The 19,919-nt window shown below is 39.3% G+C and overlaps 1 protein-coding gene and 1 long non-coding RNA gene across 5 annotated transcripts in view; both read right to left on the bottom strand.

The window, feature by feature from the left end:
• The window catches only part of SPECC1L-ADORA2A (SPECC1L-ADORA2A readthrough (NMD candidate)), a 171,544-nt gene that overhangs the window by 48,887 nt on the left and 102,738 nt on the right, over positions 1-19,919 (bottom strand).
• Positions 1-19,919, bottom strand: part of SPECC1L (sperm antigen with calponin homology and coiled-coil domains 1 like) — a 146,908-nt gene that overhangs the window by 24,265 nt on the left and 102,724 nt on the right. The window lies entirely within an intron of this gene.

The raw sequence follows: 19,919 nt of genomic DNA, 5'->3' as shown, positions 1-19,919 counted from the left end.
ACTGGCAGAAAGTCATCTTGTGTGTTCCAGGGTATAAGCTAAATCTTAGGTGAATCACTAGAAAGTCCTGCAGCTGCAAACACACCTGGCTTACATCATGTAGCATTCTTCCCTACACCACCACTTAATCTCACCCTCATATTGCCTCATCTACCCAGATTCCCTCTCATTTGTGAGGCAACATTAAAAAAGCATCATAAGGTTCTGTCAGGTCACTGTCACATTATTAGCTTCTCTAATTACTTAAGTAAGAGATAACAGTCTCTGTGGCAGATTAAATTTTCCAAAAATGACCACAGCAGTATTTCTGGCCCCACATCTTCTTCAGAAGCCTCCTATGCCCCATCAAAAGGTGGCGCCTATTTCCCTTCCCCTTGTAACTGCCTTGACAAACAGTATGGTAGAAGAGATGCTGCATGGCTTCCAAGACTGTGTCATCAAAGGTGGGGTGGCTTATGCCTGTCTCTCCCTCTCGACAACTGTCCTTGGAATGTGGCCACCACATTTTGAGGAAGCGCAGACCAAATATTGGAGAGGCTACATAGAAGTGCTCTGGCCACAGGTCTAGTGAAAGTCTCCGCCAACAGCCACCAGACCTGTAAGGGAGGGAGCCATCAGCTAGTTCCACCTCTCCAGTGGCACTGAGCTGAGTAGAGCGGAGATGAGATGAGATGAGATATCCCCACTAAGCCCCACCCAAACTGTAAACTCAGGATATAAATAGACGTCATTATGTTAAGCCATTAAGTTTTGGGTGGTGTTTATAGATAACCAGCCTCTTTTCTACTGAATCTAAAGAGTGCATTCAGAAAGGAAACTAGTTTCTCTCTCTCCCGCCCTATGTTGTCTAATGGCTAATTACCCTTCCCATAATCATTTATCATGAGGCAGCAACAGGGCATCTTTACAAATAACCTGCTTCTCAAATGGAGAGGTCACCATAAATTGCCAGAATGACCTCAGGCTAAACTCATTTGTGAAAATCCAGAGCAATCATGTATCTAATGAAATCAACCTGTTGAACTCCAACTTGTCTGTGGAGGCCACATCCTTATGTTGTCATCCCATCCAAAGTGGATGAAGCACAAGAAAACAATGATTTCTCATGATGCAAGGAAGTCAAGAACTGTGCCTGTTATTTGAGATGATACATAAAGATTATTTGACCCAGAGAATTTAATGATTCTGCTTTTAGCAAAATAATTAGGCAGCTCTTGAAAATGTTACTTATCTGATTTCTGTTTCTCAGCATTACTCGTAATAAAAATACCTACTTACTGGAAACTTACTGAAGAGTCTGGGACACTGCCGTGGAGGCTGGACAGCTCAGTGGAAAGAGCCTGGGGCTGGGAGCTTGGAGAGCCAATTGTATGGTCTTAGGCAAGCATGGCACCTTTCTGATTTGCAGATGTGAAATGGAAGCCCTGGGTTTGTGATTTCTAGGGGCTGTCTCAAGTCTGACTTCCTCTAACTTCTGAGAATGGAATGTGGGTGCTGATTCACATGAAGTATTTCACATTTTATCTAAGGAAATGCATCCTGAGACAATTATCTTAAAGCTAAACAAGAGCATTGGCAAACAAACCATTTTATTACATTCGGCAGGTTTTCTCCATGTCATTAGTGGAAGTTAAATGGAAAAAGAATGCAAGAAAAAGGAACAAAACCTTGAGCTAAAGGGAAGACAACCCTGTAGAGTTCCATTCAAACTGCTTAGGTCTGCCCACCGCCAGTAGCCCATCTAGTTGGTGAAGTAACAACAGGTACATCCAAGCTACTGCTGTTGCTGCCAACAGACCATGCCTCCGCCAGGGCACCATTCCTAATTCTCTTTCCAAATCCAAATGTACCGGTCCTGAATGCAGCTCTGAAAAATGCTCACAGTGAGGGGAGTGAAATGAGCATTTAAGGACTGGTGCTGTATACAAGGCCTCCACTCCTTCCCCTGTTTGGGAGGATCTAATTTGTGTCATCCAGGGGAGAAAAGCCTTGACTGAGTAGTCTCATCTACCACACACAAAACACACTGATCAAACTCATTTATGGTAATGGCACTAAGCAACTGATTTTTAAAATTACAGCCCTGAAATTTCTGGAAATAGATGTTAATAGTAGCTATCAAGATCATGTTTAAACAGAATGCAGTAAGTACACTGTGATTCTGGGAAAACTTTGTTTCCCAGCTGCTATGTTTGACATTAAAAGGAATGCCCTGAAAACAGGAAAGAGTTCTTTCACTTCACTGGGACAGAAAAGCCATCAATTAACCTCTGCTGTGTGCAGTAAAGAACACAGGCCCGGCCGGGCGCAGTGGCTCACACCCGTAATCCCAGCACTTTGGGAGGCCAAGGCGGGCGGATCCCAAGATCAGGAGATTGAGACCATCCTTGCTAACAGGGTGAAACCCCGTCTCTACTAAAAATACAAAAAATTAGCTGGGTTTGCTGGCATGCGCCTGTAATCCCAGCTACTCAGGAGGCTGAGGCAGGAGAATCGCTTGAACCCAGGAGGCAGAGGTTGCAGTGAGCCGAGATCGCTCCACTTCAGTCTGGGCGACAGAGTGAGACTCTGACTCAAAAAAAAAAAAAAAAAAAAAAAAAAGAAAAGAAAAAAAAAAAAAAGGAACACAGGCCCAAGAAGAGCCCTGAGATACAAGCTGTTTCTATTCCCCGGTGGCTCCAAGAAATGTGAAGCTCTTGGCCAACCGCTGAGCCTTCGGGATGAAGATACCTTGTCATCAGGACAGAAAATGATTAGACTCCAGGAGTTTTTATTGCTTCACTGTGGAGAACTTATGAGTAGACACAGTCCACATAAAGAATGGGTGGGACGCAAGGCTGGCCATTCTTGTTCCCCTTTGTTCAAGTATTTTTAACCCCTGGAACACACTGATATTTACAAACAATAAGATCTTTCTGTATACTTAGTTTCCATGCAAGTGACAATGTAAAATGAAAAGATTTAGACTTTCAACCTAGATTTGATTCAGATCAAAACTCTTATCTACTGCCAGCACCTTTTTTTATTTTTTAACTCTGGGAAGTAATTCCTGTGACCTAAGATTCCAGTTATAGAAGAGGAAATTAAACCAACTAAGCTCTGCTTGGACTATGAGGAATTCCTAATGCATTATTTTAACAGCATTCTGTCTACTGGAAGAACTCCCAGCTTTCTCTAACCTTTCTCATGCCACACACCCCTAGCCCAGTCCTAACTCTGATCATGGAGAGAGGACGCTAGGAAGGTGGAAGGGTGAGAAAAGGAAGGATCAGGGGAAGAGCGGCATTCTGGAATGTTTTCCAGAGAGGAAACTAAAGTCCTCTTTTTTTTTTTTTTTTAAGGGTTGGGGTAGGGGATGAGTAGAAATAACATTCCCCTTCAAGGCTGGACACATAAGGGAAAGAGGGATGACATGTGAAAAGGAAGCGTCTCTATTCCCTTGTCTTTTCCAGTATGTAGTGTCTAGGAAGAATCAGAAGAAACTTGTGCTTTTGGGCCCAATCTCTTTAGGTTAGGAAAGTCACCTTTATATAAGAATCTACTCAACCCACAGGCTTTGAAATGGTGGCAATGAGTAGTGGCCTAAGGGGGTGTGACTAACACCAAGTGCTAATCTCATGCCTGGGTTGTGCAGGTAGCAAGTACCATACTTAATACTTCATACAATTTATAAAGAGCACTTCCTTTTTCTCCTATTTGTCTCCTATTTCTATTATTACAAAGGAAGCTGTGAAGGACTGAGCTATTTTTATCTGTTCACTAGTTCTCACTCTATTGATTCTTCAATCTATGGGGACACACAATTCTGGGAGAATAAAGGTAAGTACTTCTTTTCCTTGCTTAGGAAAGAGGGTAGGGAAAATAAAAAAGAATCCCAAAATGACGCATGCTAGGAAACTTCTGGCTGCAGTAGAGCAAAGAGGTAGATAGATCCTTTCCCTAAAAAAAAAAAAAACCCGAAAGCCCCCACAAACACAAATATAAACCTGGACAAAAGTGTCACAAATTACCATTTTAGGGCAAATCAACCAAAGGCAAACAACAAACTAAGAAGTATTATTGGCCAGACACAGTGGCTCACATCTGTAATCAGCACTTTGGGGGGTTGAGGTGGGTGGATCACCTGAGGTCAAGTTTGAGACCAGCCTGGCCAACATGGTGAAACCCTGTCCCTACTAAAAATACAAACATTAGCCGGCCATGGTGGCATGCACCTGTAATCCCAGCTACTTGGGAGGCTGAAGCAGGAGAATCGCTTGAACCCAGGAGGCAGAGGTTGCAGTAAGCCAAGATCGCACCATTGGCTCTCCAGCCTGGGTGACAAGAGTGAAACTCTGTCTCCAAAAAAAAAAAAAAAAAAAAAATCAGTTATAGAAAGGAGTGAAGTACTAACACATGCCACGTGGAAGAACCTCAAAAATATGGTACATGAAAGATGCCAGTGACAAAAGACCACAAATGATTCCAGTTACATGAAATGTCTGGGACAGGCAAACCCATGGTGGCTGCCTAGGGCTGTGAGGTGGTAAGAATATTCTAAAATTCATTGTGATGATGATTATACAACTCTGTGCATATACTAAAAACCACTGAACTGTCCAACTTGGTGAGTTGTATGGTACGGGAGTTGTAAAAAAAATAACACAACTAAATCTTAGAAACTCAACTCTCAGAAGTTAACTTTTATAAGATATCTGTGGTAGGCCCATAAGCTGTTGATGTCTTAATCTCTGGAACTTATGAACATGTTTATTTACATGGCAAGAGAGTTTGCAGATGTGATTAAACTAGTTCAACCATTGTGGAAGTCAGTTTGGCGATTCCTCAGGGATCTAGAACTAGAAATACCATTTGACCCAGCCATCCCATTACTGGATATATACCCAAAGGATTATAAATCATGCTGCTATAAAGACACATGCACACGTATGTTTATTGCGGCACTATTCACAATAGCAAAGACTTGGAACCAAGCCAAATGTCCAACAATGATAGACTGGATTAAGAAAATGTGGCACATATACACCATGGAATACTATGCAGCCATAAAAAATGATGAGTTCATGTCCTTTGTAGGGACACGGATGAAGCTGGAAACCATCATTCTCAGCAAACTATCGCAAGGACAAAAAAAAAACAAACACTGCATGTTCTCACTCATAGGTGGGAATTGAACAATGAGAACACATGGACACAGGAAGGGGAACATAACACACAGGGGCCTGTTGTGGGGTGGGGGGAGGGGGGAGGGATAGCATTAGGAGATATACCTAATGTTAAATGACGAGTTGATGGGTGCAGCACACCAACATGGCACATGTATACGTATGTAACTAACCTGCACGTTGTGCACATGTACCCTAAAACTTAAAGTATAATAATAATAATAATAAAAAAAGAATTTTAAGAACAGGAAGAGGATCCTGAATTGTCCAGGTGGACCCAATCAAATCACACAAGGCCTTAAAAGCAGATAACCTATGGTCAGAGTGATGCAATGTGACAACTTGACCAGTTGTTGTTGGCTTTGAAGATGGAGGAAGGGGCTACAAGCCATGAAACATGGCTGTCTCTATAAGCTGGAAAAGGCAAGGAAATAGATTCTCCCCTAAAGCTTGAGAAAAGAACACAGCTCTGCTGACACCTTGATTTTAGTCCAGTAAGAGCCATGTTGGACTTCTAACCAATACAATTCTAAGATGAAAAATATGTGTTGTTTTAGCTACTACATTTGTAGTAATTTCAATAGTAATAGAAAACAAATACAGTATTATAAATTATTTGTTTTATATAGAAAAGAAAATGAATCTAATGAATCTTAATAAATCATCTGGAATAAATGAAGAAGTGTAAAATATCAGAAACATGTGACATAAAAACCTCAAAACCACAGATAATTGGGGCGACAACATTCCTGAAAATACCAAAAAAATTTTTTCCTTAATTTTTGCTCAATATACATGAAGTACCCAAATGATAAGTACAGCTAAAAGAATTTTCACAAAGTGAATATACCATGTAGTCGCCTCCCCCAAATCAAGATACAGAATGAATCAGAATCCCAGAAAGGATCCCTCAGTTCCCCTAAAGATAACCACTATTCTGACATCATAATAGATTAATCTCACCACTGTTTTGGCTTCATTTAAATGGAATCATAGTTTAGACTCCTGTGCATCTGGCTGCTTCTGCTCAATATTACATGTGTGAGATTCATCCATGCTGCTGCATGTTGCAACAGTTTATTCTTTTTTTTGCTTGTTTTGTAGTACCTTATATATCACAATTCATTTATCCATTTACGTCTTAATGATTATTTGGGTTGTTTCCAGCTTTTGATTCTTATGGAGACTATTCAACTTCAGCAGATACTGCCAACATTTTCCAAACTGGCTAGAACAGTTTAGAGCCCTGTCAGCAGGGTGCAAGTGTTCTTGTTTCTCTGCTTCCTTGCCAACACTTGGTGTTATCAGCTTTTTAAATCAGGCTTTCTGTGTCTAATCTGCTGCAGACATAGCAAAGCCTGGCTATAATTTATTTTTTAAATGCTAATAAAAATTAGATCCTGAGGGCCAGGTGCAGTGGCTCACGCCTGTAATCCCAGCACTTTAGGAGGCCGAGGTGGGCTGATCACAAGGTCAGGAGATTAAGACCATCCTGGCTAACACAGTAAACCCAGTCTCTACTAACAATACAAAAAAAATTAGCCGGGTGTGGTGGCGGGCGCCTGTAGTCCCAGCTACTTGGGAGGCTGAGGCAGGAGAATGGTGTGAACCTGGGAGGTGGAGCTTGCAGTGAGCTGAGATAGCGCCACTGCACTCCAGCCTGGATGACAGAGCAAGACTCCGTCTCAAAATAATAATAATAATAATAATAACAATAATAATAATTAGATCCTGAAAATTTTTTCACTTGCTATTAACTCTCATATTTTACATGCATCTTTGTTAGTATTTCCTACATCATACTCATGTCTGGAAACAATTTTATTTCTTTCTTTCCAATTTTATACCTCTTATCTCTCTTTCTGCCTTACTGCACTGACTAGAACTTTATTTTTTAATTTTTTGTAGGGACGGGGGTCTCACTATGTTGCCCAGGCCAAGTCTCAAACTCTTGGCCTCAGGGGATCCTCCTGCCTCAGCCTCCCAATAGAGCTTTACATACAAAACTGAATAGAAGTGATGAGAGCAGGGTCTTGTCTCTTTCCTCATCTCTGGAAGAAAGCTTTCAATAAGTCACCATTAAGCTTAATGTCCACTATAAATATTTTTTGTAGATGCCCTTTATCATCTTTTTAAAAGTCCCTTTATTCCCAGTTTGTTAGAAATTTGTTCTGTGGGGCTTTTTTTTTTTTGAAACTAATAAACAGGAGTTAAATTTTATCAAATGCTTTTGTTCATCTACTTTGATTAGATCACATTTTCCCCTCCATTTTGATAACTTACTCTGAAGGACTTTAATTCATTGAAATCTTTTGACAGTGCATGTGGCCAATTCTGATGAATATACTGTGGCCAATTAGAAGGAATGTGCAATCCACTATTGTCTGGTGCAGTGTTTTATAGCTCAGTCAGGACAAAGTAGTTAATAGCATTACTTACATCTTCTATAGCTCTACTAAATTTCATTTGCTTTTTCTATTCGTTAATGAGAGAAGCGTGTTAAAATCTCCAAATATGCCTATTTCGCCTTTTAGTTCTATCAGTTTTCCTTTATATTCTCTGGGGCTATGTTACCTGATGCATATGAATTTATGATATGCTCTCAGTGCCTCTAAAGTCTTACTGGGCAGCATGAAGTCTTCCAATGTTGTTTTCTAAGAGTGCCTTGGCTATTGTTATTGTTTTAATTCTTTATCATTACGGACAATCTCAATCTCTAGTAATATTTCTTACTGAGAAATGATGCTTTGAAATTAGTATAGCTCTTCCAGCAGTCCTTTGGTTAGTGCTCGCATAGGACATCTTTTCCAACTCTTTTACTTTCAGTCTTTCCATTTAAAGTGGGTCTCTTATACACAAATCATGGTTGAGTCTATTGTTTTTAACATGAAAATCTTTGTCTTTTAACTGGAATATTCAGCCTATTTACCTATAATGTGATTTTTACATATATGGATTTACATCTATTACTATACCTTTAGTTCTTTGTTCCTTTTCTCTCCTTTCCTGCCTTATTTTGGATGAATCAAGTATTAATATTCTACTTATCTTCTATTAGCCCCTTATTTTCCATTCTTTTATTACTTTGCTAATATGTGATTTTAAATATTATAGCCACACTGAAAAAGTCAAAAAATATATATTTTATCAAATATATTAAAAATATGATCATTTCAACATGTAATCAGTATTTTTTAAATTTTTTAAATGAGGTAGTTTACATTCTTTTTTCTTTTTTTTTTTTTTGAGACGGAGTTTCGCTTTGTGCCCCAGGGTGGAGTTCAGTGGCGCGATCTCAGCTCACTGCAAGCTCTGCCTCCCGGGTTCAGCCATTCTCCTGCCTCAGCCTCCCAAGTAGCTGGGACTACAGGTGCCCACCTAATTTTTTGTATTTTTAGTTGAGACGGGGTTTCACTATGTTAGCCAGGATGGTCTTGATCTCCTGACCTCATGATCCGCCCACCTTGGCCTCCCAAAGTGCTGGGATTACAGGCGTGAGCCACCGCACCCGGCCTACATTCTCTTTTTCTATATTAAGTCTTCAAAGTCTTCAAAATCTGGTGTTTTATAATCACAGCACATCTCAACTCAGAATAGCCACATTTTAAGTTCTCAGTAACTCCATGCAGCCAACGTCAACTGTAGCAGAGTGTAGCCCTAGAGATTTACAATGTGAAACCCTTCACTTATTCAGAGTCTATGACAAATTAATTTCCTAACCTCCTGAACAATTCAAAGACCTTGCAACACCTTAATTACATTTACTGTCCCCCTCCTAACTTTTAAACCATTTTATCTTAAATTTTCAAGCTACATATATCTTTAAACAAGATATTTTTATTACACTGCAGTCAATATTCATATATATTTACTTTCACATTTACTCTTCCACTGTTCTTTATTCCTTCCTGAAATTTTGTTTCCCTATGGGATTATTTTCTTTCTGCTACAAGAACTTCCTTTTTCTTTCAGAATGGGCCTGCTGGTGACAAATCCTCTTTCTGTTACCTATTGAGAAATCGGCTGTTGATCCCATTATTCTTCTTAACCTAGTATCTTTTTTCTCTAGCAATTAAATATTTTTTTCACTGTCCTTGACTTTTAGCACTTATGACACTCCTAGCCCTCTCTTTTGGTATAACCCAATTGTATGTGTCTTAACCCTTCTATTATGTCCCTTGTCTCCATTACACTATGTTTTTTTCATCCTTTCATTTCTCGGTGCTTCACTGTGGATATTTCTTACTGATCAATCCTCTAATTCACAAGTCTTTTCTGTGTTCAGTGGTTGTGAAACACATATATGGGAGTTCCTAGCTCAAGCTAATGAATTTTTTAGTCCTTAAATTTTCATTGGGCCAGGCACGGTGGCTCACGCCTGTAATCCCAGCACTTTGGGGGGCCCAGGTGGGCGGATCACCTGAGGTCTGGAGTTCGAGACCAGCCTGGACAACATGGCAAAACCCCATCTCTACTAAAAAAAAAAAAAAAAAAAAAAAAAAAAAAAAAAAAAAAATAGTGGTGGGTGCCTGTAATCCCAGCTACTCAACAGGTTAAGGCAGGAGCATCACTTGAACCTGGGAGGCAGAGGTTGCAGTAAGCCGAGATCGCACCATTGTACTCAGGCAAGAAGAATGAAACTCTGTCTCAAAAAATAAAATCAAAAAATAAAATAAAATTTTGATTTGATTCTATTTTACAGATTCCAGTTCTCCGGTAAAACTCTCTATCTCTTCATCTGTTTCCTTAAACTCATAAATTGGTTATTTTAAAAGCCTATCTAAGGGTTCCAATATCTGGATCACCTCTTCTTTTCTTGTTACTCATTCTTTCTCTTGATTTTCATTCATTTGATCCTGCTTATTGGCATGCCTATTTTAATTAATTAATTAATTATAGAGACAGGGTCTCACTATGTTGGCCAGGTTGGTCTTGAACTCTTGGCCTCCAGTAATCCTCCCACCTTGGTTTCCCAAAGTGCTAGGATTACAGGTATGAGCCACTGTGCCTGGTCATGCCTGGTATTTTGATGGAATGCAGGATACTATGTTTCAAATAGTATAGAGGCTAAGTTTCTTCTGGCAGGTAACTAGAATAAGGGCTGATCACCTCATTCAATCAAAGTTTTGAAGTTAGATTTAAAGCTGATAACTTCTGGTCAACCTTTATTTGTAGGACATAATTCTTTTGAGGTCTCAACCGAAGGCCTCGAATATTTCCCTTTGTCATTCCCATTTGGCTGGCCTTGAAATCTAATTTTTTTGTCTACCTACTCCTGTAAGAACAAAAACTGTGCTTAAGTTTTTAAGTCTTTGGTAATAGCTCTCTACTGAATTTCTCCTTCTGAATTTGAAAAATACCTTAACAGCAAAAGCTAAGTCAAATGTTGAGTTTACTACCCTCTTTCTCTTTATTTTCCCAAAGAGATGGGGTCTCACTCTGTTGTCCAGGCTGGAGTGCAGTGGTGTGATCAATGCTCACTGTAACCTCGAACTGCTGGGCTCAAGCAATCCTCCTGCCTCAGCCTCCTGAGTAGCTGGGACTACAGACAGGTGCCACCATGCTGGCTGAGTTCATTACTCTTTTTTTTTTTTTTTTTTTTTTGAGATGGAGTCTTGCTCTGTTGCCCAGGCTGGAGTGCAGTGGCGGCATGATCTCGGCTCACTGCAACCTCTGCCTCTGGGTTCACGCCATTCTCTTGCCTCAGCCTCCCAAGTAGCTGGAACTACAGTCGCCCGTCACTGTACCCAGCTCATTTTTTGTATTTTAGTAGAGACGGGGTTTCACCATGTTAGCCAGGATGGTCTCGATCTCCTGACCTCATGATCCGCCTGCCTCGGCCTCTCAAAGTGCTGGGATTACAGGCGGGAGCCACCGCGCCCGGCCTCATTACTCTTGAGGTTGTCTTCTTCCTAGGATCTTGGACCCTCAACATCTTGGCTGCCTTAGAATCCCTCAATTCAAATTTTAGTCCTGCTACTCAGTGATTCTGAAACAAACTCTGGACCACTGCTTTGTCTGGCCTCTACCCCATGTGAAGAGTTAGCCACCGCCCTAAGGGAAAAAAGCAGGGGTAAATATGGGCTCAACTCAATTGAATTTTTCTCTATAATTTTGGCTCCTGCCAAATTTGACTTGGCTGCCTTGGTTAGTCCCCAATGCCTTCAAAGATATTTATTTTTGTATTTTAAACAGTTTTTACAGTAGTCTCGTCAGAGATTTGGTCTGATATTCTTTTATAACCATAAACAAAAATTTTACTTTACTGAGTTTTAATTACTGATTTTTTTTTACTGACTAGTCTATAAACTTCCTGAGAATAGAAACTATTTTTATTTCCTAACTTCTATTTAAACACTCAGCACACTACCTGACACAGAACTTACTATTTGATAAATTATTAGCTTTTTGTTTTGTTTTGTTTTGAGACAGAGTCTCGCTCTGTCGCCCAGACTGGAGTGCAGTGGTGCGATCTTGGCTCACTGCAACCTCTGCCTCCCGGTTTCACGCCATTCTCCTGCCTTAGCCTCCCGAGTAGCTGGGACTACAGGCGCCTGCCACCACGCCTGGCTAATTTTTTGTATTTTTAGTAGAGCTGGCGTTTCACCATATTAGCCAGGATGGTCTCGATCTCCTGATCTCGTGATCCGCCTCCCTCGGCCTCCCAAAGTGCTGGGATTACAGGCATGAGCCACCACGCCCCGGCAATTATTAGCTTTTATATTAGGAAAAAAACCTTAGAATTCAAGTAAAGCATAACACATAAATATACGCCTGCTAAACCAGTCCAACCCATTAATTCTTTTAATTCCACTTATCTCCAGTAAGGAATATCCAATCTTTTCTTCAGTGGCCCACATATTAATGAAGTACATCCCCCAATAAAACTGTATTCTCAATGTTAATCTGAGATTAAATTACCTCAGGCAGCACTAAAATATTTTGTTCATTTATTTAAACTATTTTGTACTAGATTAAGTGATTTCATTATTCTTTAGATTTAACCAATCCATTTCTAGGTCTAGCATTTTATCAGAAAACATTGAGATTTTTCATTCAAAATAAAGCTCTCAAATCAACCTTTGGGGGCATCCTGATTACATTCAGTTAGGGTTTTCCAGGGCAAGAAAACAGTGATGCAACACAAGCTCTTAGATATAAAATCTAAAACCAAAGAAAAGTTTACTGAAAGTATAAATACTTTCCCTATTCCAGTTGGTTATTCTTGTATTATCAACCTTGTACCATCAAACCCTAAAGACAACGGCTAAAAAAATTAAAAGTGGTTGTCTCTGGACAGCAGAAATTTTAGAGATAAGGAAGCAGGGAACTGGATTACCACTTCTCATGATAAGCACTTAAAAATTATTAGAGTTAGCCCTATATTTAAATTAAAAACATAATTGTATATAAACAGAGGCACTAATTTTTAAAAAAGAGAAAAAAAGGAAGACCCAACCCTTAAAGCAATAGTACTGAAAGCTGGTTACATAATGCCCTGGACTCACAAAACAGCCTTGAGGCAGCCATTTATCCTTGTGGGGGTTTCAGTCCCAGATCTGTAAACCTGATAATAAACCAGAATGCCAAGATGTTTTCAACACAAATATTCTACTATTCTAAAGCTTCAATGTATGATAAATGGCAGGGCACAAGTTAAAAGAGAAAAATGTATTTGTTAAATAAAAGCTAAACTCATAAGGGCTTGTTTTGTAATGGATGCTTAATGAAATTACAGTGATCAGCACAGTAATTTTAGGGTGACTCTTAAGAGAGTTAACGAAAGATGATATGGGTATTAGGGAATCTATCTCCGTTGATTAGACGGCTTCTTCATAAAGCACGCACGTTCCAAGCATTAATGATCCATCTGGGGCCTCTGGGAGCAGTATGTGCTAAGTGTCACGTAACAGCTTCTGCTCTCATAAACTAGTCAAGTGTCACAACCTGCTCTTTTCTGCAGACTGTGAGTAGTCAGAGACCAAAGGACAGAACCAAAACTGCTGGCTCCAAAGGATGGGCATGATCATCCATTTATAGCTAGACAGGCAAAGGGCACTGGCACTTCTCATACGATTCTTGACAAATTAAGAACACTATTAGATATGGCTTTCAGTTTTAAAAGATTATGCATTTCAGACCAGGTGCAGTGGCTCACGCCTTTAATCCCAGCACTTTGGGAGGCTGAGGAGGGTGGGTCACTTGAGGTCAGGAGTTCAAGACCAGCCTGGCAAACATGGTGAAACCCCATCTCCACTAAGAATACAAAAATTAGCTGGGCGGGGTGGCAGGTGCCTGTAATCCCAGTTACTCTGGAGGCTGAGGCAGGAGAAGGAGATGGAGATGCATCCCAGGAGATGGAGGCTGCAGTGAGCCGAGATTGTGCCATTGCACTCCAGCCTGGGTGACAGAGTGAGATTCTGTCTCAAAAACAAAAACAAAAGATTATGCATTTCAGGCTGTCCAATGTTAACTTACAGATCTTGCAATGAAAGAACCAGTATCCTCTTTGCTTCTAAAGGGAAGGAACAGATAGATATCTGTCTCACAGGAAACAAAAGCCAACTGCCTCCCACAAGCCATACATATGTATCATCAAAGAAGTGTCGATAGGAAATGAGAAAGCAGAGAATTGGGTTTGTAGCCAAGACTGTCAAGTGTACAAAAAGAATTTTCCTAATGTATGATTAACCATCCTATATCATATTTCCCCCTGCATTTTAAGTACCAAGTAAATGGAAAAAACTTCAAATTATTAGTTTATTTGTATGTATATATATTTCTCTCTATATATTAAGGTAAACATAGAAGAATCCAAGAGGCATGGAATAACTGACTTAATGTTTGAATTATCTCCATTTAATCAACCTGATACATGGGAAAGTTCTATAATCAAGAGGAAGTAAATTTTTTTTTTTCTTTTTTCTCGGAGACAGGGTCTTGCTCTGTTGTCCAGGCAGGAGTGCAGTGGTACAATAATGGCTCACAGCAGCCTCAACTTCCCGGCTCAAGTAATCCTCCTGCCTCAGCCCTCCAAGTAGCTGGGCTGAGGTAGGAGGATTGCTACCATGCCTGGCTATTTTTTTTTTTAAATTTTAATAGAGAGAAGATCTCACTATGTTGCCAACGCTGGTCTCAAACTCCTAATCACAAGCGATCCTTCAAGGGGGAAGTAATTTATAATGTTCTAAAATTACTTAATTTAAGTTATTGTCTAGCAAAATTTAAAACTTAGGTTATATGAAGACACCTAACAGCATGGAAGAAAATACAGACACACCTCAGATGGTACTTCATCTTCTTGTGCTTCATGGATCCTGCGTTTTTTACAAATTGAGGGTTTGTGGCAATCCTGTATCAAACAAGTCTGTTGGTATCATCTTGCCAACAGTATGTGCTCACTTCAATGTCTCTGGGTCAAGTTTGGTAATTCTTGCAATATTTTAAACTTTCTCATTATTATTATAACTGTTATGGTGATGTATGACCAGTGGTCTTTGATGTTACTATAGTAATTGTTTTGGGGTGCCATGAACTGTGCCCATATAAGACAGTGAACTTAATCTATAAAGTTCTGTGTGTTCTGAATGATCCACTGACTAGCCATTCTGTCTCTCTCCCTCTCCTTGGGCTTCCCTATTCCTTGAGATATAAAAATATTAAAATTAGGCCAATTAATAACCCTACAATGGCCTCTAAGTGTTCAAGTAAAAGGAAGACTCGCACATCTTTCACTTTAAATCAAAATCTAGAAATGCTTAAGCTAATTGAGAAAAGCACGGCAAAAGCCAAAAGGCTGAAAGTTAGGCCACTTGTGCCAGTTAGCCAAGTTGTGAATGCAGAGGAAAAGTTCTTGAAGGAAATTAAAAGTGCTATACCACTGAATATACAAATGATAAGATAGCAAAACAGCCTTATTGCTGATATGGAGAAAGTTTCCGTGCTTTGAATAAAAGATCAAACCAGCTACAACATTCCCTTAAGCCAAAGCTGAATCCACAGCAAGGCCCTAACTCTCTTCAATTCTATAAATGCTGAGATTGGTGACGAAGCTGCAGAAGAAAAGTTTGAAGCTAGCAGAGGTTGGCTCATGATATTGAAGGAAAGAAGCCATCTCCATAACATATAAGTGCAAGGCGAAGCTAGCAAGTGCTGATACAGAAGCTGCAGCAAGTTACCCAGAAGATCTAGCTAAGATCACTGATGAAGGTGGCCACACTAAACAACAATTTTCAATGTGGATAAAACAGCCTTCTATTAAAAGAAGATGACATCTAGGACTTTCATAGCTACAGAGGAGAAGTCAATGCCTGGCTTCAAAGCTTCAAAGGACAGGCTGTCTCTCTCATTAGGGCCTAAGCAGCTGGTGACTTTAAGTGGAAGCCAATGCTCATTTACCAGTCCCACAATCCTAGGGCCCTTAAGAGTTATGCTACATCTACTCTGCCTGTGCTCTATAAATGGAACAACAAAGCCTGGATGACAGCACATCTGTTGACAGCATAGTTATCGAACATTTTAAGCCCACTGTTCCTTTCAAAATATTACTGCTCATTGACAATGTAACCAGTCAGCCAGGAGCTCTAATGATGATACGAGGAGATTAATGTTGTTTTCCTGTCTGCTAATACAACATCCATTCTGCAGCTCATAGATCAAGGAGTGGGCTTAAAATGTTCAATAAACTATGGGGTCTTGCCTCTTCAAGCCAAGATCATGGACTTTAACCAAATGACAAAGGGGAAACAAATGAAGCAGCTTAAAGAGAAGTAACAAGATCAATTTCAAAAACACTTTGGTAGTAGGCTAGAAGATGGACAAGAAGATGAGAAAACTACATACGTCCATGTAAAAATTTGTTGTACACAAATGTCTACAACAAACCAGGCATGGTGGGATGTGCCTGTAGATCCAGCTACTTGGGAGGCTGAGGTGGGAAGATCACTTGAGACCAGCCTGGGAAACATAGTGAGACCTCATGTCGAAAAAAAAAAGTTCTTAACAGTGACATTTATAATAACCCCCCCAAAAGTGTAAGCAACACAAACACCATCTTGAACAGAAGAATGGATAAATATGTGGCATATCCATACAATGGAATATTGTTTGGCCATAAAAAGGAATGAGGTACTAGTATATGCTACAGCATGGATGAACCTTAAAAACATGATGCTAAGTGAAAGAAGCCAGTCACAGAGGACCACATATTGTGTGATTCCATTTATAGGAAATGTCCATAATAAAGAAATCTATAGGACAGAAAGTAGATTAGTGGTTGCCTATAGTAAATAGAGAATGAATGCTAATGGGTATAGGATTTCTTTATGGAGTGGTAAAAATAGCCTAAAACTGGTTGTGGTAATGGTTATACAACTCTGAATACACTTAAAAAAAAAACAAAAACCCACTGAAATGTACATTTTAAGTGGCTGAATTGTATCTTGTGTGGCATATCTCAATAAAAAAAGTTCTTTCTTAAGAAAAAAAAAAAACTAGGTGATTGTGTAATTTTCACTTATGCTTGAGGTTTCAGTTCTACAACCAACTTGAAACTGCCAGTATTCACGTTCCTGCCGTTCAACAAAACTTGAGACTTTTCAGGCCTGAGTGTGGAAGTCTTTTTAGGTTGAAGTTTTATGTTCGGCTTCTTTCCCTTAGCATAAAATATTCAAAGTTCATCCAAGTTGCAGCATGTATCAGAACTTCTAATCCATGAACAAGGTATGTCTTTCCATTTATTTAGATTTTAATTTCTTTCAGCAATGTTTTGTATTTTTCAGTGTATTAGACTTGTGCCTCCTTGGTTAAATTTATTCCTAAATAGTTTATTCTTTTTGATGCTGCTATAAATGGAATGTTTTAATTTACTGTTACTATATGTAAATGCAAGTGAGTTTTGTATACTGATCTTGCATCTTCAACTTTTCTGGATTTACTAGTTCCAACAGTTTTTATGTGAATTCTTAAAGGTTTTCTAGATATAAGCTGGATGTGATGGCCTACACCTGTAGTCCCAGCTACTCACGATGTTGGAAGTGGGAGGACCACTTGAGCCCAGAAGTCTGAACCTAGACTGGGCAACATAGTGAGACCCTATCTCTTAAAAAAATCTAGACATAAATCACATCATCTGCAAATAGAGATCATTTTACTTTTTTTCCTATCTGGATGCCTTTTCTTTCCTTTTTTCTTGTCTGTCTTAGCTAGAACTTGCAGAAAAATGTTGAATAGAAATGGTGATAAACGACATTCTTTCTTGTTCCTGATCTTAAGGGGAAAGCTTTCAGTCTTCACCATTAAGTATAATGTTAAAACTGTGGGTTTTTTTTGTTTTTTTTGTTTGTTTGTTTGTTTGTTTTGAGACAGAGTCTCACTCTGTCACCCAGGCTGGAGTGCAGTGGTGTGTTATCAGCTCACTGCAACCTCCACCTCGCAGGTTCAAGTCATTCTCATGTCTCAGCCTCCCAAGTAGCTGGCATTACAGGTGTGTGCCACTACACCTGGCTAGTTTTTGTATTAGTAAAGATGGAGTTTTGCATGTTGCCTAGGCTGGTCTTGAACTCCTGGCCTCAACTGATCACCCGCCTTGGCCTCCCAAAGTACTGGGATTACAGGCATAAGCCACTGTGCCCAGCCAACTGTGGGTTTTCATAGGTACCCTTTATTAGATTGAGAAAATTACCTTTTATTCCTAGTTTTTAAAATCATAAATGGCTGCTGGATTTTACCAAATGCTTTTACAGTGTCTAGTGAGATGATCATGCGGTTTTTTCCCCTTTATTCTAATAATATGGTATTACAGTATTAATTCATTTTCATATGTTGAACCAACCTTGCATTGCTGGGATAAAGAACACTTGGTCAGGGTGTATAATCCTCTTTAATATACTGCTGGATATTGTCATTATTTTGTCAAGGGCTTTTACAGTTTTCTTTTTTTGTAATATCTTTTTCCGTTTTTGGTATGAGAGTAATGATGGCCTCACAGAATGAGTTAGGAAGTAATATTTTCTTTGATTTTTGGAAGAGTTTGAGAAGTATTGCTATTAATTCCTCTTTTAAAATTTGGAAGAATTAACCAGTAAAGTAATCTGGTCCTGGGCTTCTCTTTGCTGGAAGTATTTTGATTACTAACTCAATCTCATTAGTTGTTATTTGTCTCTCCAGATGTTCTTGCTTCTTGAGTCCATTTTGATAGTTAATGTTTCTAGGAATTTGTCCATATCATCTAAGTTATCCAATTTTTGGCATTCATTGTTCACAGTATTCCATTTTAATCCTTTTTATTTCTTAAGGTCATTAGTAACGTCCCTTTATTCCTGATTTTGGTAACTTTAGTCTTCGTTTTCTTTTTATCTATCTACTTAGAGGTTTGTCAATTTGTTTATCTTTTCAAAGAACCCATTTTTTTTTCATTGATCTTCTCTATTGTTTTTCTATTTTCTATTTTATTTATTTTGGCTCTAATCTTTATTTCCTTCCTTCTGCTTATTTTGGGTTTAGCTTATCTTTTTTCTACTTCCTTTTTTTTTAAATTATACTTTAAGTTTTAGGGTACATGTGCACAAGGTGCAGGTTAGTTACATATGTATACATGTGCCATGTTGGTGTGCTGCACCCATCAACTCGTCATTTAACATTAGGTATATCTCCTAATGCTATCCCTCCCCCCTCCCCCCACCCCACAACAGGCCCCTGTGTGTTATGTTCCCCTTCCTGTGTCCATGTGTTCTCATTGTTCAATTCCCACCTATGAGTGAGAACATGCAGTGTTTGTTTTTTTTTGTCCTTGCGATAGTTTGCTGAGAATGATGGTTTCCAGCTTCATCCGTGTCCCTACAAAGGACATGAACTCATCATTTTTTATGGCTGCATAGTATTCCATGGTGTATATGTGCCACATTTTCTTAATCCAGTCTATCATTCTTGGGCATTTGGCTTGGTTCCAAGTCTTTGCTATTGTGAATAGTGCTGCAATAAACATACGTGTGCATGTGTCTTTATAGCAGCATGATTTATAATCCTTTGGGTATATACCCAGTAATGGGATGGCTGGGTCAAATGGTATTTCTAGTTCTAGATCCCTGAGGAATCGCCACACTGACTTTCACAATGGTTGAACTAGTTTACAGTCCCACCAACAGTGTAAAAGTGTTCCTATTTCTCCACATCCTCTCCAGCACCTGTTGTTTCCTGACTTTTTAATGATCGCCATTCTAACTGGTGTGAGATGGTATCTCATTGTGGTTTTGATTTGCATTTCTCTGATGGCCAGTGATAATGAGCATTTTTTCATGTGTCTTTTGGCTGCATAAATGTCTTCTTTTGAGAAGTGTCTGTTCATATCCTTCGCCCACTTGTTGATGGGATTTTTTTTTTCTTGTATATTTGTTTGAGTTCATTGTAGATTCTGGATATTAGCCCTTTGTCACATGAGTAGATTGCGAAAATTTTCTCCCATTCTGTAGGTTGCCTGTTCACTCTGATGGTAGTTTCTTTTGCTGTGCAGAAGCTCTTTAGTTTAATTAGATCCCATTTGTCAATTTTCGCTTTTGTTGCCATTGCTTTTGGTGTTTTAAACATGAAGTCCTTGCCCATGCCTATGTCCTGAATGGTATTGCCTAGGTTTTCTTCTAGGGTTTTTATGGTTTTAGGTCTAACATTTAAGTCTTTAATCCATCTTGAATTAATTTTTGCATAAAGTGTAAGGAAGGGATGCAGTTTCAGCTTTCTACATATGGCTAGCCAGTTTTC

The sequence above is a fragment of the Homo sapiens genome, chromosome 22 (genome assembly GCF_000001405.40).
Source record: "Homo sapiens chromosome 22, GRCh38.p14 Primary Assembly".
In the NCBI taxonomy this organism is placed as follows: Eukaryota; Metazoa; Chordata; class Mammalia; order Primates; family Hominidae; genus Homo; species Homo sapiens.
This window is presented reverse-complemented; position numbering and strand designations above follow the sequence as displayed.